Source organism: Homo sapiens, chromosome 4 (genome assembly GCF_000001405.40).
Source record: "Homo sapiens chromosome 4, GRCh38.p14 Primary Assembly".
Classification (NCBI taxonomy): domain Eukaryota; kingdom Metazoa; phylum Chordata; class Mammalia; order Primates; family Hominidae; genus Homo; species Homo sapiens.
Window position 1 is genome coordinate 907,703 of NC_000004.12, and position 18,590 is coordinate 926,292.

The following is an 18,590-nucleotide window of genomic DNA, read 5'->3' on the forward strand; positions in this document are numbered from 1 at the left end:
CTCCTCCAGTGAGCCCTGAACCTGCAGCTGCACGGGGGAGCCCACATCCCTCCCGCTTCTCAGAGATGCCACGGCTCTCCCCTGGCACAGCTGTGCCATCCACAGAGCCCTGCAGCTCAGCTCTCAGCCGCACATGCTGCTCCAGACAGGCAGTCCCCAGGAGTGAGCTGGCGCGCGCATGCGTTAGTCTGCCTCGTGTATTTATGACTTGAGGGGCTGGGCCCGGCCCCTCTCCTTCCCACACCACCCCATGCAGGGTCAGCGATGAGCCGCTGGCCCCGGCCCTGTCCCCGCCGCTCCCTCGTGCACATATCCTGGGAACACACTGGACGCCGAGCAGCTTCAGTTTTCACACCCGTCCTGCTCAAGCCTTCCAAAGCCGGAATGTCTAGAACCAAGATTTACCCCTCGCAAAGGCTTTCTGATCTCGGAAATGACAAACGAGGGAGATAATCAGCAAAACATCCATCACTAGACCCACAGGAAGCCCCGTCTGGCCTTTATCCAAGTTACTCCAAGTGTGCTGGGCAGAGGGTGCGGCAAGGCTCACACAGCAGGCAGGCTGCAGCTCCAGGAGAAAGCCCGCAGGCCTCAAACAGAAGACGCAGTGATGCATCCACACCAGGAAAACCAAGCAGCCTTCTGGATGGAACGAAGCGACCGCACCACGTGGAAAGAGGCCTGAGCAGGGTGCTCTCGCCAGCGATCCCAGCGCCTCAGGAGGCCTTGGTGGGAGGATCACCTGAGCCCAGGAGTTCAAGACCAGCCTGGGCAACACAGCAAGACACCATCTCTACAAAAAATACAAAACTTAGCCAGGCACAGGGGCCAACACCTGTAATCCCAGTGCTACAGGTGTTGCTTGAGCTCGCGTGTTCAAGACCGGCCTGGCAACATAGTGAGACTCTGTCTCTAAGAAAAGTTTACTCTTTAAAATTAGCTGGGCATGGTGGTGCACACCTGAAGTCCCAGCTACTCCAGAGGCTAAGGCGGGAGGACTGCTTGAGCCCAGGAGTTTGAAGCTACAGTGAGCTATGAATCACTGCACTCCAGCTTGGGCAACAAAGCAAGACCCTGTCTCCAAAAAAAATACGCCTGATACGGTCAATTTTTTTAAAAAGGAAAATTATATAAAGTAAAATCCCATTTTTATAAGCACTCATAAAACTCTGGGTTGTTGTTGGTTTTTTTTGAGACAAGAGTCTCGGCTCACTGCAACCTCCACCTCCCAGGTTCAAGCAACTCTCCTGCCTCAGCCTCCCGAGTAGCTGGGATTACAGGCCCCCACTACCATGCCTGGCTAATTTTTGTATTTTTACAATACAAAAGAGACGGGGTTTAGCCATGTTGGCCAGGCTAGTCTCGAACTCCTCACCTCAAGCGATGCACCCGCCTCGGCCTCCCAAAGTGCTAGGATTACAGGCGTGAGCCACCGTGCCTGGCCTAACTCTGTGTTATTTGTATTTTGTCAATCAGCATGTATTCTTTTATAATGAAAACTGACAAGTAACACCACGAGCGGGAGGCCCCACGGCGTGATGCGTGCTCCCGACAAATCTTAATCCCACTGGTTTCAGCACCTCCCAGCTCTGGAGGAGGCCCTAGAAGCGCAGCGCAGGAGCGGGTGTCAGAGTCCAGGGACATCCAGAGAAAACAGTGCCATGAACAACAAGAGATTGACTGACAGACACCTCAACCGAACACACACAGGAGCCTTGACGAGGCCCCGGTATGCGCACGGGAAGGGCCGGGTGCGACGTGTCAGGGATGGGGGAGACAGCCCAGCACGGACTGCATGGACGCACGGGAGGGGCCGGGAGCGGCGTGTCAGGGATGGGAGAGACAGGGACGGGAAGGGCCCAGCACGGACCACACAGCACAGCCTCACCAAATCGCGAGGATCTTCTCAGGGGCACAAACACCAGTGGCCATCATGGAATTTCTCTCAGGCTGTATAGAGTTATGAGGCTTTCTGGTCTTGACGTCTGCGACTTATTTTTAAACGGTTAGAATGGAGAGAGGGAAAGCCGCCGTGGGACACGCTCAAGTCTGGGGAACCCCATGAGCAGGAAGTGGACAATGGACGCCCCTTGTGCTGCCTTCAACTTTTCCGCCAGTTTGACGTTTCAGAACACAACACTGAGAAACACAAGCGGCACATCCCCACAGTGTCAGATGAAGAACTGGGGCTACCTGGCAGCATCTCCTCAGCCTGCAGGCGGCTCTGACCACCCCCAACCCCCGAGACTTCTCGGCCACGTCAAGCACCCATCCGCCACCCACGTCAGGACAACCCTGGCAACAGGCGCTGGAGGGCCGCAGAGGGGCCTGGGCCAGCTGCCAGGTGTGGCATCAAGGAAGGGCCAGGTGGGACCCCCAGGCAGAGAAGCATGGGCAGAGCCAGGGGCCCGCAGGCAGTCAGGTCTCACCCAGCTCCTCCCAGGCACAGCTGCAGAGAAGAGACCCTGCCCAACAGGGCACTGACAGGTGCAGCCGCTATATCCAAGCAGCTTACACCCCACAGTCCACCCTCCCTCACTCAGCACAGGGCTCCCCCAGCTCAGCACAGGGACACCTACCCTCAGCCCTCAGCAGTACAGAGCCCCCCGCTAAGTGCAGTCCCCCTCCATGAAGCTCAGGGCCCCCCCAACTAAATGCAGGCCCCCCACAAAGCACGGGATGCCCCCATCCCACTAAGTGCAGTCCCCCCTCCACTAAGCACAGGGCCCCTTCCACGACGCTCAGGGCCCTGCTCAGTGCAGGGGTCCCCCCTCAGCTCAGAACCCCCTTGCTCGCCCTCCATTTCTGGACACATGCCCCTCCTGCTGCCCTCTCTGCTAACCTGCTGCCCCACCCCTACCTGTCCCTTCAGGCCTGCGCTAGCCGGCCTGCGGGAACAGCTCCTCCTGGCTGCTGAGCAGGGGCTGGCTTGTGGACGACAGATCTCACGCGGCTACAGGTGCCCTCCCCACAGGCTTCCTTCTGTGGGACTCCCTGCCTCAGTCTCCCCTGCTGCTCCCGGCCTCTCCTCTCCCCTCTCTCCCTGCCTGGGGGACAGACGCAGGGGTCACTAGTGTCACCACCCCCTCACCGGCCAGGCCACAGCTCTGAGGCCTCCCCGAGTGCTCGACTTCCCCTCGTCACCTGGCACAGGAGTTCTGGAGGGCATCGGCACGAGGCAGGGCTGGGGGTGGAGCCGCCCTCTGAGGCACAGGTCTTGTTTCCCCTTTGCAGACACAGCCTGAGGCTCAGCAGGGTCAGGCCAGGTCTCCGGCCAGTCAGCGTGGGCTCCGGTGACACCAACACGACATCCCCCGCAGTCACTCACACAGACCACTCTGCCCCTAGAACTCTCCGAAAGCACCACCCCAACCCACCGGCCTCTCTTCCTGTCCTGACAAACGGACCATGGAGTCGTTGTGCCATCTTCCTGGGCTCAACCCTGATGAGGCTGGGCACCCACAGAGGGACCTGGAGTTGTCCACCTCTGCGGCCTCTCTTCTCCTTGCCAGGACCCCAGAGCCCCTGACAAGGACGGACAGCAGCACTCCTCCACCCTGCTCAACACCGCTCATGGAAGGCCACCACGCTCCACCCCACAGGGACCCCAGAGCCCTGAGAAGGACAGACGCTCCTCCACCCCTGCTAAACACCACTCACGGAAGGCCACCACGCTCTACCCCGTGCTGCCACTGGAGACAGGCAGGATGGGAGCCCGGCTCTCTGGCTGCCCGCAGCTCCACGAGGAGACGATGCAGGTGGCCCACCGGGACAGTGGGAAGCTCACTGGGCGTCAGCGTGGGCCTCTCACAGAACTACTGTCAGAGAGCTGCCCGCGCTTCCCGCTAAGACCAACACAGCTTGAGAGAAGATGCCGGGCATGTTTCACAGCCATGCAGCTGGGTTAGGAGGCATCAAGCCGGCCTCTGCTGGGTTAGATGGCACCAAGCCGGCCTTCACAGGACGTTACCTTTACAGAGCTCTGTGAGCAAGAGGAACTCAGCCTGCCCCGTGTCTGACTCCTCTTTTCCTATAGACGCTGCAGAACAAAACTGGACAATGTTCGGGTGGCCGGAAAGCTTTTTCTGCAGTTGTCTTGTTAAAGGAGAACGTACATAACCATGTCCACAGTTCTGTGCACTTCAAAATAAATGTAGACAATATTAACACACTGAAGTCAGAATACTTGAATCGAACCCTTACAATTTTAGACGTCAGAGCGGAAGATGAGGGAGAGAGCAGTGGACGACCGAGAGAAAGGCAGACAGAGGCAGGAGGAGCTGCAGGAGAGGGCGGGGACAAAGGCAGGCACACCGGCCACACACACCTGACCACAGCGACACCAAAGTCCATCCCGCGCGTGGCAGGAGGAGGCAGGGCCCTCAGGGGGCTGTGCGCAGGGAGGCTGCGGCGTGGCTGTGTCCACCCGAACCCACACTCAGGCAGCCGGCGGGCTCTCCGAGTGAACAGAGCTAGGAGAGGAAAGAGAGGCAGAGTCTGAGGGCAGCCAGGGCCGAAGACTCCAGGCTCAGGAGGGACATGTGGCAGTGGACAGGGAGTGCAGCCCCCAGATCCTCTGTCAGCGCCGGGAGATGCCCCGCCCAGTCATGCTGGGACAGCCTGAGAAGGGACGAGAGGGGCGGCTGAGAAGCCACATCGGGGCCTGTGGGAGCCAGGCCATCTGCACGGCTCTCAGCCAGGTCTCCGGAGGAGCTGAGGGGGCCGGGCCGGGCAAGGGCCCCCTGTGGTAACCAGCCCATCCACTGGGCAGGGAGACCTCTTGGGTAGGAACAACTTCATTCCCAACACTTCTGAATCTTCTACTATTACCCTGGCAGTAAAAAAAAAACAGAAAAAACTGCTTCTTCCTAGAAGTCGCCTACAACTAGGTTTGGTAAAAGCAAAAAGCCGATTTTAACACATGAAAGACAACGTCACGGAGCAGCCTCTTGGCCACTGGCGGTCACAGCTTGACGCAGGCCTGTGCCTGCCAAAGCCACCGTGCTGGCTCCTGGTTCCAGGAAAAGGATACCATGAAGCAAACTTCTTGAATGATGGCTCTGTTCTTTTCCTCTTCATTGGATAATAGCCTCTGTATCAGGAAACAGCACACACAAAAGATGAAAGCAAGTTTACCTTCCTACTCCACCCGATGCATCATCTCAGACATAAGCACGCAACAGAGCAATGCAATGTGTCTAATACAGCTCCCCCCGTTTCGTGTGTCTCCACCTCTGACCCCTGTAAAAACGTGCTGGGGGTTCAAGACCCTCAAAAGATCTTTGTGATGCAAGGACACAAGAAAAGTCAAAAGCAGGAGCCTTTCCCCAAATGGGCCAGAGTAAAATGAGACAGACAAGAAGGAAGAGCGGCAATGCTCTGCAGACACGGGGGCAGCAGGCGTGCAGACCACGACAACAGGCCCACTCATGCCCACTCTCAAAGGCGGGGCCACCCTGGTGCCCAGCGTGGTGACAGCAAATGGGGCCTTCTTACGTCTCAGGACAAAACTGCACAGTACAGACCCTCCCACAGTGACCCCTATTTACAGAAATGCTAGCAACAAATATTTTTTACAAGCAGCTTTTAAACTCCTTGTATTCATAGAGCCCTTATTTTGGCACATGGAGGCCAAGAGGGCATGACCCCACCATGAGGTCACCCCCAGCACAGCCCCTGCCACAGGGCAGGCAGGGCCACAGGAGTGTGAAGCCCAAAGCTGGAGACCAAGGCTCCTGCAGTGCCCAAGGCTGCTGAGATTCAGCAGAAGCAAAAGGGACAAGTATGTCCAGGCTGTAAAAGGAAACAAAGTACGTAACAGGGACGCATCCCTGAAAAGACTGTCACCAGACAGTCCCTTTACATACGTCAGAAATCCAGAGAAGGCGTTAAATGGTTCATTACCTTTAATGCATACTCTCTGCCACTCCCCACATCTTGAGCTTCATACACAAATGCAAACCCTCCTGAAAATTAAAAAGACTTGTCAGTTCAATGCTATGATTTTATTTAACATATCAGGCTTTAAAAATACCTTCACTAAGTAAAATACAAATTGACTTGTGGCGTGGCCAGCAGTTTTCTACAAAACATAATGGCCCCAGCGTACACGCCCCCCGCAAACACAGCCCCAGCATACATGCCCCCACACACACAGCCCCAGCGTGCACGGCCCCCCCACACACACACAGCCCCAGCGTGCACGGCCCCACACACACACACAGCCCCAGCGTGCACGGCCCCACACACACACAGCCCCAGCGTGCACGGCCCCCACACACACAGCCCCAGCGTGCACGGCCCCACACACACAGCCCCAGCGTGCACGGCCCCACACACACAGCCCCAGCGTGCACGGCCCCCACACACACACAGCCCCAGCGTGCACGGCCCCACACACACAGCCCCAGCGTGCACGGCCCCACACACACAGCCCCAGCGTGCACGGCCCCCACACACACAGCCCCAGCGTGCACGGCCCCACACATACACAGCCCCAGCGTGCACAGCCCCCACACACACAGCCCCAGCGTGCACGGCCCCCCCCCACACACACAGCCCCAGCGTGCACGGCCACACACACACACAGCCCCAGAGTACAAGGCCCCACACACACAGCCTCAGCGTGCCCGGCCCCACACAAACACAGCCCCAGCGTGCACGGCCCCCACACACACAGCCCCAGCATGCACGGCCCCACACACAGAGCCCCACACACACACAGCCCCAGCGTGCACGGCCCCCACACACACAGCCCCAGTGTGCACGGCCCCACACACACACAGCCCCAGCGTGCACGGCCCCACACACACACAGCCCCAGCGTGCACGGCCACACACACACAGCCCCAGCGTGCACGGCCCCCCACACACAGCCCCAGGGTGCACGGCCCCACACACATAGCCCCAGCGTACACGGCCCCCCGCACTCAGCCCTAGCGTGCACGGCCCCACACACACAGCCCCAGCGTGCACAGCCCCACCCCCAACACACAGAGCCCCAGCATACACGGCCCCCCGCACTCAGCCCCAGCGTGCAAGGCCCCACACACAGCCCCAGCATACACGGCCCCCAACACACACAGCCCCAGTGTGCACGGCCCCATACACACACAGCCCCAACGTACACGGCCCCCAACACAGATAGCTCCAGCATGCACGGCCCCACACACACACACAGCCCCAGCGTGCACGGCCCCACACACACACAGCCCCAGCATATACGGCCCCCAACACACACAGCCCCAGCGTACACGGCCCCACACACACACAGGTCCAGCGTACACGGCCCCCAACACACACAGCCCCAGCGCACACGGCCCCCAACACACACAGCCCCAGCGCACACGGCCAACACACACAGTCCCAGCGTGCACGGCCCCACACACACAGCCCCAGCGTACACGGCCCCCCGCACTCAGCCCCAGCGTGCACGGCCCCACACACACAGCCCCAGTATACACGGCCCCACACACACAGCCCCAGCATACACGGCCCCGTGCACTCAGCCCCAGCGTACATGGCCCCCCGCACTCAGCCCCAGCGTGCGCGGCCCCAGTGCATACACCACTGCCTTTCACTTCCTCTACTCCAGAGACAGACAGGAATAACCTAAGAACAGAGGTCAATAGAAGGAAAAACAAAACCACAAGCAGTTCTCCAAAGACCAACGAGACTGATAAATTCTAGACAGACTGATCCAGAGAGAGAGGACAGATCACCAATACCCAGAACAAGAGAGGGGACCTCCTTCCCCGACGCCCAAAAGAGGAAAAGACATAAAAGAGAATACACACCAACATCACTCACGAATGTGGACCCAAGAATTCTTCATAAAACAGCAAACCAAGCCCACCAAGACATCAGGAGCAGAGTTGGTTTAACATTTGAAAATCAATTTAATTCTATTGTTTTGGGGTCTAATTTGCTTAGTTTTCTTTTAGGTTTCTGCAGTGGAAAAACTACATCATGAAATTTAAAACTCTCAGCAAACGAGGACAGAAAGAAACCTCCCCAGCCTGATAGACGGCATCTGTGAGAGACCAACAGGAACACTGCATTTCGTGGTGCAATGTCGAATCCTCCCTTCTGAGATCAGGAAGGAGGCGGGGATCCTTGTTCTCACCACTGATGGTCGACACTGTGAGGAAGTTCTCGCCGGTGCCATCAGTCAAGAAAAAGAAATAAAAGGCATCCAGATGAAAAAAGGAGTAAAATTATTTTTATCTGCAGGTGACATGATTATCTATGCAGAAAATCTGGTGAAATCTACTAAAGAAAAGCTACCATAACAAACGCATTCAGGATGGTTGTTGGATATAAGGGCAACATACAAAAACCAACTGTGCTTCCACATGCCCAAGGTTAGGCAGTGATTTTTTAGATATAAGCACAAAAGCAGGACCCATAAAAGAAAAATAATGATAAATGGACTTCAGGAATTTCTGCTTTTTGAAAACTGGTCAGAGGATGAAAAGATAAATCACTACTAAGTTTTGCAAATCATATACCTAATAAAGGACTTCTATCGAGAAAATATTTTAAAAATCCAAGTAACAACAATTTTTTTTTCTTCTGAGACAGGGTCCTACTCTGTCACCAGGATGGAGTGCAGTGGCACTATCACAACCCACTGCCTCGACATCTGGGCTCAAGTGATCCTCCCACCTCAGCTTCCCAAGAAGCTGGGACTACAGGCATGCGTCACCACACCCGGCTAATTTTTTTATTCTTTGAAGAGACGAGGTTTCGCCAAGTTGCCCAGGCGGGTCTAGCCTCCCAAAGTGCTGGGACTACAGGTGTGAGCCACCACGCCCAGAAAACAACAAAATTTTTAATGTGCAAAAGATATGAATAGACACATCACCAAAGATATACTTGTGACAAGTACACAACGTGTCCCACCACTGCCCATTAGAGAAATGCAGACTTAAACCGCGAAGATAGGACCCCATACCTAGCAGAATACTTGACATTTAAAAACCGCCCAGACCAAGTGTCGCTGAGGATGTGGAGCGACTGGAATGCTTATGCACAGCTTTTGGAAATGGAAAATGGTACAATCACTCTGGAAAACATGTTGGCGATTTCTTAAAAAGGTGAACATAAATCAACAATACAGCCCTGACATTACGCTGCTGTGTATTTACCCAAGAAAAATGAAGGCACATGTGCGTAAAGAGACTTCTACACAGCAGCTTCATGTGCAATAGCCTAAAAATGGAAGCAACCCAAATGTCCATCAACAGGTGAATGAACAAATTACCCACACCTCTAACACTACCTAGCAATAAAAAGGAGGAAACTGCTGTTACATGCAACAACATGAATAACACACGAAAAGGCAGTATGCCGAGTAAAAGATGCCAGGCGAAAAAAGAGTACATACACATACATACAGTCAATGTACAGAAAACTCCAGAAAACACAAACGACCAGGCCAAAAAAAGAGAGTACATACACACATACAGTCAGTGTACAGAAAACTCCAGAAAACGCAAATGGATCTATGGTAACAGAAGGCCAATGCCAGGCCAAAAAAAGAGAGTACATACACACACATACAGTTAGTGTACAGAAAACTCTAGAAAATGCAAATGAATCTATAGTAACAGAAGGCCAATGCCAGGCCAAAAAAAGAGAGTACATACACACACATACAGTCAGTGTACAGAAAACTCCAGAAAACACAAATGGATCTATAGTAACAGAAGGCCAATGCCATGCCAAAAAAAGAGAGTACATATACACATACAGTCAGTGTACAGAAAACTCTAGAAAACACAAATGGATCTATAGTAACAGAAGGCCAATGCCAGGCCAAAAAAAGAGAGTACATATACACATACAGTTAGTGTACAGAAAACTCTAGAAAATGCAAATGAATCTATAGTAACAGAAGGCCAATCAGTGGTTTCCTGGGATGGGAACAGGAAAGCAGGGCGAAGGGTTACCGTGGGGAGGAGGGAGACCGTGGCGCTGACGCACATGTTTGCTGCCTTGATTAGCGTGGCAGATACAGTGTGTGACACACACATACATACATGACATGTGCCGAAACATTTAAAACATGCAGCCTGTATATCTCATTTTTATCTCAACTGTTAAAATATTTAAATAATAAATAAATCTGTGAGGAAAAACACAGATGAAAGGAAGTAAATGGAAATCCATGAAATAGAAAATAGAAAACAGATGGCTCCACTGCTAAATTACATCAAACACTTAAGGAAGAAATCACAACAAGCTTATAAAGTCTTTCATTAGATAGAGGAGAAGGGTTCCCAGCTCATTGCTTGAAGTTAGCATAACACTAACCAAAGAAGGGTATAAATACCAAATTAAGGAAAGAGATCACTCATTACCATAGACACAAAAAATCCTCAAGAAAATACTGGCAAATTGATTCCAGCAAAACATAATAAGGATACTACATCATGACCAGGTGGTATTCATCCCAGGAATGCAAGGTTGGTGTAACATTAAAAAATCAATCACTGTAGTAAACAACATTAGCAGAATAGGGAACACTGGATCACCAACAAAATTTAGAAACAACAACTACAAAAAACTGACTTCTAACATAAGACTTAATCGTGTTTTCTTCCTAAGATCAGAAACAAGGCAAGATGTCTGCTCTCAGCACTGTAAGCCAACATTTTACTGGAGATTCGAGTTAATGCAAGAAAGCTAGGAAAATTAATAAAAGGCATAAAGATCAAAAAGGAAAAACTAACGAAAGACAAAACTTCAGTTAGCTAGGAAGAATAAGCTCAAGAGATCCACTGTACAACACGGTGACTATACAGTTACTAACGACAGATTACATTCTGAAAAATGCCCCAAAACTGACAACTATGATGCAGTACATGTGTTAACTAGCTAGATGTGGTCATTCCACGATGCATATATACTTCAAAACATCATAGCGTACATGACAAAGACATCAATTTTATCTGTCAATTAAAAAATATATTAAACACAAAAAAAAGGAGGAACTAAAACTCCTCTCATTTTCAGATGCCATGACTGGAAAGACAGAAGGCTCCAAAGGCCTCAGCGCCCCATGACCTTAGAAAGGCAGAAGGCTCCAAAGGCCTCAGCGCCGCATGACCTTAGAAAGGCAGAAGGCTCCAAAGGCCTCAGCACCCCATGACCTTAGAAAGACAGAAGGCTCCAAAGGCCTCAGCGCCCCATGACCTTAGAAAGACAGAAGGCTCCAAAGGCCTCAGTGCCCCATGACCTTAGAAAGACAGAAGGCTCCAAAGGCCTCAGTGCCCCATGACCTTAGAAAGACAGAAGGCTCCAAAGGCCTCAGTGCCGCATGACCTTAGAAAGACAGAAGGCTCCAAAGGCCTCAGTGCCGCATGACCTTAGAAAGACAGAAGGCTCCAAAGGCCTCAGCGCCCCATGACCTTAGCAGGACAGAAGGCTCCAAAGGCCTCAGCGCCGCATGACCTTAGCAGGACAGAAGGCTCCAAAGGTCTCAGTGTTGCATGACCTTAGCAGGACAGAAGGCTCCAAAGGCCTCAGCGCCCCATGACCTTAGAAAGACAGAAGGCTCCAAAGGCCTCAGTGCCGCATGACCTTAGAAAGACAGAAGGCTCCAAAGGCCTCAGCACCCCATGACCTTAGCAGGACAGAAGGCTCCAAGGGCCTCAGCGCCCCATGACCTTAGAAAGACAGAAGGCTCCAAAGGCCTTCAGTGCCGCATGACCTTAGCAGGGCCACAGGTCTCTGGGTGCCTCCCCAGCCTCCTCCTCTCCAGCCGCACCCCGCATTTGGTTCCAAGCCACCACATTGACACAACTGCTCTTCCTCAAACGCAGCAGGCCCATTCCTGCCCAGGGCCTTCCCACACACCACAGGCCTGGAAGGGGCCCCTGACCCTGGGCACCTCCTGGCTTGCTCCCTTGCGTCCCTCAGGAGCTGCTCCTCACCGCTTCTGCGATGCCTTCCCTAATGCACCTGCCCATCCCAGCCACTCTTTATTAACTTGTTCCTTTTTCCTGACACTTTCTGATATCTAACATTACATCACACACTACTCGGATACCTGTTTACCGTCTGTCTCAGCTAGACTACAAACACCATGAAGCAGAAATTTCCTCCACATTGTTTACATCTACATCCAGCACCTAAGTGGTGCCTGACCAAAAGTGTATACTAAGGTCTGGGAACGGCTCATGCCTGTAATCCCAAAGCTTAGGGAGGCTGAGGCAGGAGGATCACCTGAACCCAGGAGTTTGAGGCTGCAGTGAGCTATGATCAAGCCACTGTGCTCCAACCTGGATGACAGAGCAAGATCTTGTCTTAAAAAACAAAAACAGGGTGGGTGCAGTGGCTCAGGCCTGTAATCTCAGCACTTTGGCAGACTGAGGAGGGCGGATCACAAGGTGAGATCGAGACCATCCTGGCTAACGCAGTGAGACCCCGTCTCTACTAAAAATACAAAAAATTAGCCCGGTATGGTGGCGGGCACCTGTAGTCCCAGCTACTCGGGAGGCTGAGTCAGGAGAATGGCATGAACCCGGGAGGCGGAGGTTGCAGTGAGCCGAGATCACGCCACTGCACTCCAACCTGGGCGACAGAGCAAAAGTCCATCTCAAAAAAAAAAAAACAAAAAACCAACAACAAAAAAACACAGCATCACTGATGTGACTTTTAACACCTCTAACGCAGTATCACACACAGTGCAGGGAAAGCGGAAGGAAAATGAGCAGGAAGGATGTGCATTGAACTCCTGGTGGTGAAAACGCCACCAGGAAGGAGAAGGTCCCAGAAGTCCAAGAATATTGCGACATTATTCTACCAAAATTGTGAAAAAGGTTTAGAGCCATTTTTTTTTTTTTTTTTTTTTTGAGACGGAGTCTTGGTCTGTTGCCCAGGCTGCGGTGCAGAGGCACAATCCCGGCTCACTGCAACCTCCGCCTCCCGGGTTCAAGCGATTCTCCTGCCTCAGCCTCCCAAGTAGCTGGGACTACAGGCGCCCACCACCACGCCTGGCTAATTTTTGTATTTTTAGTAGAGACGGGGTTTCACCATGTTGGCCAGGATGGTCTCGATCTCCTGACCTCATGATCCCCCTGCCTCGGCCTCCCAAAGTGCTGGGATTACAGGTGTGAGCCACCATGCCCGGCCCCAGATACTATTTTGTTAAAAGGTTAACGTTTATTCTGGATAGTAGGACATAGGTGTTCGTTATGTTACTGTATTTTTCTGCATTTTAAAATATTTCATAATTTTTAAAGATAGTAATATCTGGACTTGATCTCAGGACTTACTACACAGCTAAATTAATCAAGGCTATGTGGTATTGGCAGAGGGACAGATACAAAGATGACTGGAATGGAAAGAAAATCGCAGAAACAGCCACACAAATCAATCCAGGTGATTTCTTCTTCTTTTTCTTTTTTTTTTGAGACGGAGTCTCGCTCTGTCACCCAGGCTGGAGTGCAGTGGCACAATCTCAGTTGACTGTAGCCTCCGCCTCCCAGGTTCAAGCGATTCTCCTGCCTCAGTCTCCCCAGTAGCTGGGACTACAGACGTGCGTCACCACGCCCGGCTAATTTTTGTATTTTTAGTAGAGACGGGGTTTCACTATGTTGCCCAGGTTGGTCTCGAACTCCTGGCTTCAGGTGCCTTGGCCTCCCAAAGTGCTGGGATTACAGGCCTGGGCTACCACGCCCAGCCCATCGAGATGATTTCTGAGGGAGGCACAGAAGCAACTCCATGGAAGATCCACAAATGGTGCCAGACAATGAGCTTCATGTAAATGCCAGCCACATACAGTAATTCACCAAAATAAACACGGACATAAATCTGCAACTGTGAAGGTTTAAAACTTTCAGAAAAACACAGGAGACAAATCTTCAAGATAAAGAGCTAAGAATCCTTAGCTGTGACAAGGCGTGATTCGTAAAAGGAAAAATAAATCAGACTTCACAATGAAAAACTTTGGATCTGCAACAGACCCCGCTTTGTTTGTTTTTTTTTTTTAATTAACTGGTCTGAGTTTGCGTCCAAAAAGATCCTGTTTAGGGGACGAAAGGACAAGCTGCAGACTAGGAACAGATACTTGAAAACCCCATGTCTACGAAGGACTTAAATCTACAATAAAGAACACTCAAAACTTGGTCAAAAAAACATAATTAGGAAGTGGGCAAAAGACATGAACAGACATTTCACCCCTGAAGATATGCAGATGGCAAAGAAGCACTCCCAAGCTATCGGGAAAATGCAAATCAAAACCACAAGGAGGTATCGCTACACATGTATCACAATGATCACAGTAAAAACCACGACGCCAAATGCTGGTGAGTACAAAGAGAAACTCGCTGTTAGGGACTCAACTGTGTGCCCCCAAAATGCATCTGCGGAAGCCCCAGATGACCCTATGCGGAGACGGGCCCTCAAGTAATGAAGGATAAATAAGTTCATACGAGTGGGGCCCTAATCCAATAGGACTGGTGTCCTTATAAGATGAAGACACACCAGAGATGTCAGCATCCCCTCAGCAAAAAGGCAGCATCGGCCGGGCGCGGTGGCTCAGGCCTGTGATCCCAGCACTTTCGGAGGCCGAGGCGGGCAGATCACTTGAGGTCGTGAGTTTGAGACCAACCTGGGAAACATGGTGAAACCCCGTCTCTACTAAAAATACAAAAATCAGCGGCGCATGGTGGTGGGCGCCTGTAGTCCCAGCTACTCAGGAAACTGAGGCAAGAGAACTGCTTGAACCCAGGAGGCAGAGGTTGCAGTGAGCTGAGATTGCGCCACTGCACTCCAGTCTGGGTGACAGAGCGAGACTCCATCTCAAAAAAAAAAAAAAAAAAAAGGCAGCATCTGCAAACCAGCAAAAGAGGCCTCTCCTGGAATCAGCACTGACAGCATCTTGCTCTTGGCCTTCAAGCCTCCAGAACTGCGAGAGTGAATTTCTACTGCTCCCCACTCAGTCTGGAGTATTTTGTTATGGCAGCCTAACCAGGCTGATACGCTCCTACATTGCTGGTGGGAATGTATGGCCACTCAAGAAAACAATCTGGCAGTTTTCTAACAAACTAAACACATAATTACCACACATGAACCAGCAACTGCACTCTTAAACATTTATCCCAGAAATGAAAACGTATATTCACACAAAAACCTATACGCAAGTGTCACAGCAGCTTTATCTGTAGTAGCCAAAACAGGAAACAGCCCAGATGTCCTTCCACGGGTGGCTGGCTGGGCAAGCCGTGCACACTCACGCAGAGGAGTCTCACCACGGGAAACAAGCTACTGACACACAATTACCTGAAGAATTCTGCACTTCCCCTTACACTGCATCCTTCGAATGACAAAATCACAGACAGAGCAAAGACTAGAGGTTTCCAGAGGGTAAGGAAATGGCGTGGCTGAGAGGTGGCATGAGGGCTCCCTACGGGGATGGAGACTTCCACAGCCTCACCTGCACCAGGGTTAGCATCCCGACCGTCACCACTGGGGAAACCAGGCAAGGGTCTAAAATAGAAAAGATCTCCATCTTTTCTCACAGCCGCGTGGGAACCTACAATGAACTCAAAATAATACAGTTTATTTAAAAATAATAGTAACGTATAAGACATTAAAGAATGGCATGTCGGGTACCTCCAAGACCCTGTTATATACATTTTACAGCACACACTCTGCCAATTAAGGAACAGGCACAGGCCAGGCACAGTGGCTGACACCTGCAATCCCAGCACTTTGGGAGGCCGAGGTGGGAGAATCACTTGAGCCCAGGAGTTCTGAGAACAGCCTACAGGCAACATAACAAGACTCCATCTCTACCAGAAATAAATTAAAAATTAGCCAGGCGTGGTGGTGCGTGCCTGTGGTCCCAGCTACCTGGGAGGCTGAGGTGGGAGGATCGCTTGAGTCCGGGAGTTCAAGACTGTGGTGAGCTGTGATCATGCCACTGCACTCCAGCCTGGGCAACAAAGCAAGACCTCATCTCAAGGGCAGGGAGTGGAGGGGTGGGGAGTGGAGGCACAGAGACATCAAATGCTCAAGCCAGGTCAAATCTCAAGGCCCAGGTTCCCTGAGGCAGCCTGGCCTGGGACAGCAGAGTGACCACAGCTAAGGCTTGCCTTCTCTTTCTCACATAAATTATATAAATATATAAACATAAGACCTGTATCCAGAGTAAGCAGAAACTCCCTGCCCAATAAAAAATGGACAAAAAGGCCAGGCGCCGTGGCTCATGCCTGTAATCCCAGCACTTTGGGAGGCCAAGGCCGGCGGGTGACCTGAGGTCAGGAGTTTGAGACCAGCCTGACCAACATAGTGACACCCCATTTCTACTAAAAAATACAAAATTAGCTGGGCATGGTGGTGCATGCCTTTAATCCCAGCTAGTTGGGAGGCTGAGGCAGGAGAATTGTTTGAACCTGGGAGGTGGAGCTTGCCGTGAGCCAAGATGGAGCCACTGCACTCCAGCCTGGGCAAGACTCCCTCTCAAAAAAAAAAAAAAAAAAAAATTGCTGAACATCATCATCAGGGAAATTCCAATGAAATCACAATGAGATCGACACCACTGCACACTCACAAGAATGGATGTAATCAAAATGAGAGACCACAAGAAATGCTGGTGAGGAAGTGGAGAGCCAGGAACTCTCCACTGCAGCTGGTGGAAATGTAAAATGGTGCAGCTACCGTGGAAGGAGGTTTGGTTGTTTCATGTGAAGTTCAACCTAAATCCAACCTGTAAATCAGCAATCCTACTCCTTGGTATTTTTTACCCAAGACAAAGAAAAACACACGTCCACAAAAAGACTTGAAAAAAAATGTTCTCGGCACCTTTATTCATAACAGCGGATACGGTTTGGATCTTTATTCATAACAGCGGACACGGTTTGGATCTTTATTCATAACAGCACATACGGTTTGGATCTGCGTCCCCATGCAAATCTCATGTTCACTTGTGACCCTCAATGTTGGAGGAGGGGCCTGGTGGGAGGTGACCGGATTATGGGGCGGAGTTCCCCATGGCGTGGCTGCTCTCAGGATAGTGAGATCTGACTGGGCCATGGGTGTGGAGTTCCTCCCGGGGCTGCTCTCAGGATAGTGAGTGCTCTCCTGTGAGATCTGATTGGGTCGTGGGGGTGGAGTTCCCCCGGGGGGCTGCTCTCAGGATAGTGAGTGCTCTCCTGTGAGATCTGATTGGGTTGTGGTGGTGGAGTTCCCCCAGGGGCTGCTCTCAGGATAGTGAGTGCTCTCCTGTGAGATCTGATTGGGTCATGGGGGTGGAGTTCTGCCCGGGGGCTGCTCTCAGGAGGAGGTTGCCAGGATCTGAGATCACACCCCTGTACTACAGCCTGGGCAACACAACAAGACTCTATCTCAAAAAAATAAGAATAAAAAAATAACAGGCACAGGATATGAATGTGCAATGCCAGAAGGGGAGGCTGAGCAGCAAATAAGCATTACCAAACTCGCTACTCAGAAAGGCACAAATCAAAGCTTGACACTTTTTAAACCCATCAAAATGTCCAAATAAAACAAACCCCCAGGGGACACTCTGAGGACTTGGGACACTAGAGTCTGGTGCCCCCGAGCAGCCTGCAGGCCCCATGAGCAGAGCTGGGCAACCTTCCCCCACACAGCCCACCAGCGTCCATGCAAAGGGCTGAGGACACCTCTCACCAGGATGCGTGTAGGATGCACGGAGCACGCTGGGGACGGGACAGAGTGCCGGGGGACAGTGAGGTCAGTACAGGACCACTACAGGCAGATCTGAGTATCTTTTTTAATCAACTCGGCCTCTTTTAAGAAACAGACACTTTTCTAACGTAAAATACCACATACCAACATTTTCAATACACACATAATTCACAACACTACAGAATGAATCTGTGTCCCCTCCAAAATTCCTGTGTGAAATCCTAATACCCAAGGTGATGGTGTTAGGAGGTGGGGCCTCCTTGGGGGTGACTAGGCCATGAAGGTGGAGCCCTCAGGACTGGGATTACTGCCCCAGAGAGCACTCCCTCACCCCTTCTGCCCTGTGAGGACACAGCGAGAAGGTGCTGGACCTCACCAGACACCAGATCTGCCGGCGCCTTGCGCCTGGACTTCCAGCCTGCAGAGCCGTGAGGAATAAACAAACGTCTGTGGTTTATAGGCCCCCAGTGTACGACGTTCTGTTACAGCAGCACAGACGGACTGGGACACGGGGATGCGCACCCACACAGACAACCATGAGCAATTCACCAGGAGTCCACGGAGTGGAGGAGGAGGAAAGGGGAGTGGCCCAGCCCAACTGTCACCTCCCCCAGTGGTGAGCCCACCCGGGGGTCGTCCCCAACAGTGACCTCCCCGAACGTCTAATTCACCCCAAGGGGGTCCTCCCCCGACAGTGACCTCCCCAAACGTCTAATTCACCCCAGGGGGTCCTCCCTGGACAGTGACCTCCCCGAACGTCTAATTCACCCCAGGGGGTCCTCCCTCGACAGTGACCTCCCCCAATGGTGAGCCCACCCATGGGGTCCTCCCCAAGAGTGACCTCCCTGTATGTTAACAGACAGAAACCACAGAAGTAACACAGGCTTGTTCCTGCCAAGGGTCAGCCGCAGC

General features: G+C 52.1%; 1 protein-coding gene across 46 annotated transcripts in view, besides 5 other annotated features; it reads right to left on the minus strand.

Moving 5' to 3' along the window:
- Nucleotides 1–18,590, minus strand: part of GAK (cyclin G associated kinase) — an 83,040-nt gene that overhangs the window by 58,426 nt on the left and 6,024 nt on the right. For 22 of the 46 annotated variants that reach the window (XM_047450030.1, XM_047450012.1, XM_047450002.1 and 19 more), the window contains exons 2-4: nucleotides 5,905–5,966; nucleotides 5,033–5,092; nucleotides 3,971–4,085 (exon numbers count right to left, since the gene is read on the minus strand). The exons of 14 other annotated variants lie outside the window; for them this stretch is intronic. In XM_047450030.1, coding sequence (XP_047305986.1) covers nucleotides 3,971–4,085; nucleotides 5,033–5,092; nucleotides 5,905–5,966 — 237 coding nt within the window. Of the gene's footprint in view, nucleotides 1–3,970; nucleotides 4,141–4,327; nucleotides 5,093–5,904; nucleotides 5,967–7,518; nucleotides 7,578–7,795; nucleotides 8,056–18,590 lie in introns of those variants that run through there. 10 more of the 46 variants (XM_047450016.1, XM_011513429.3, XM_047450011.1 and 7 more) reach the window with 8 other exon arrangements.
- Nucleotides 4,187–5,092: an enhancer, noted in NCBI's record as "H3K4me1 hESC enhancer chr4:905677-906582 (GRCh37/hg19 assembly coordinates)". NCBI's record gives its function as "activates a minimal SCP1, AML or CMV promoter by ChIP-STARR-seq in naive H9 embryonic stem cells {active_cell/tissue: H9 hESC(naive)}" and the evidence as "EXISTENCE:reporter gene assay evidence [ECO:0000049][PMID:30033119]".
- Nucleotides 4,843–5,001: a silencer, noted in NCBI's record as "fragment chr4:906333-906491 (GRCh37/hg19 assembly coordinates)". NCBI's record gives its function as "represses an EF-1alpha promoter that drives an FKBP-Casp9 reporter gene in an ReSE screen in K562 erythroleukemia cells {active_cell/tissue: K562}" and the evidence as "EXISTENCE:reporter gene assay evidence [ECO:0000049][PMID:32094911]".
- Nucleotides 5,093–5,998: an enhancer, noted in NCBI's record as "H3K27ac-H3K4me1 hESC enhancer chr4:906583-907488 (GRCh37/hg19 assembly coordinates)". NCBI's record gives its function as "activates a minimal SCP1, AML or CMV promoter by ChIP-STARR-seq in naive H9 embryonic stem cells {active_cell/tissue: H9 hESC(naive)}" and the evidence as "EXISTENCE:reporter gene assay evidence [ECO:0000049][PMID:30033119]".
- Nucleotides 7,426–7,605: a silencer, noted in NCBI's record as "silent region_15112". NCBI's record gives its function as "represses an Ori minimal core promoter by ATAC-STARR-seq in GM12878 lymphoblastoid cells {active_cell/tissue: GM12878}" and the evidence as "EXISTENCE:reporter gene assay evidence [ECO:0000049][PMID:35858748]".
- Nucleotides 14,067–14,176: an enhancer, noted in NCBI's record as "active region_21139". NCBI's record gives its function as "activates an Ori minimal core promoter by ATAC-STARR-seq in GM12878 lymphoblastoid cells {active_cell/tissue: GM12878}" and the evidence as "EXISTENCE:reporter gene assay evidence [ECO:0000049][PMID:35858748]".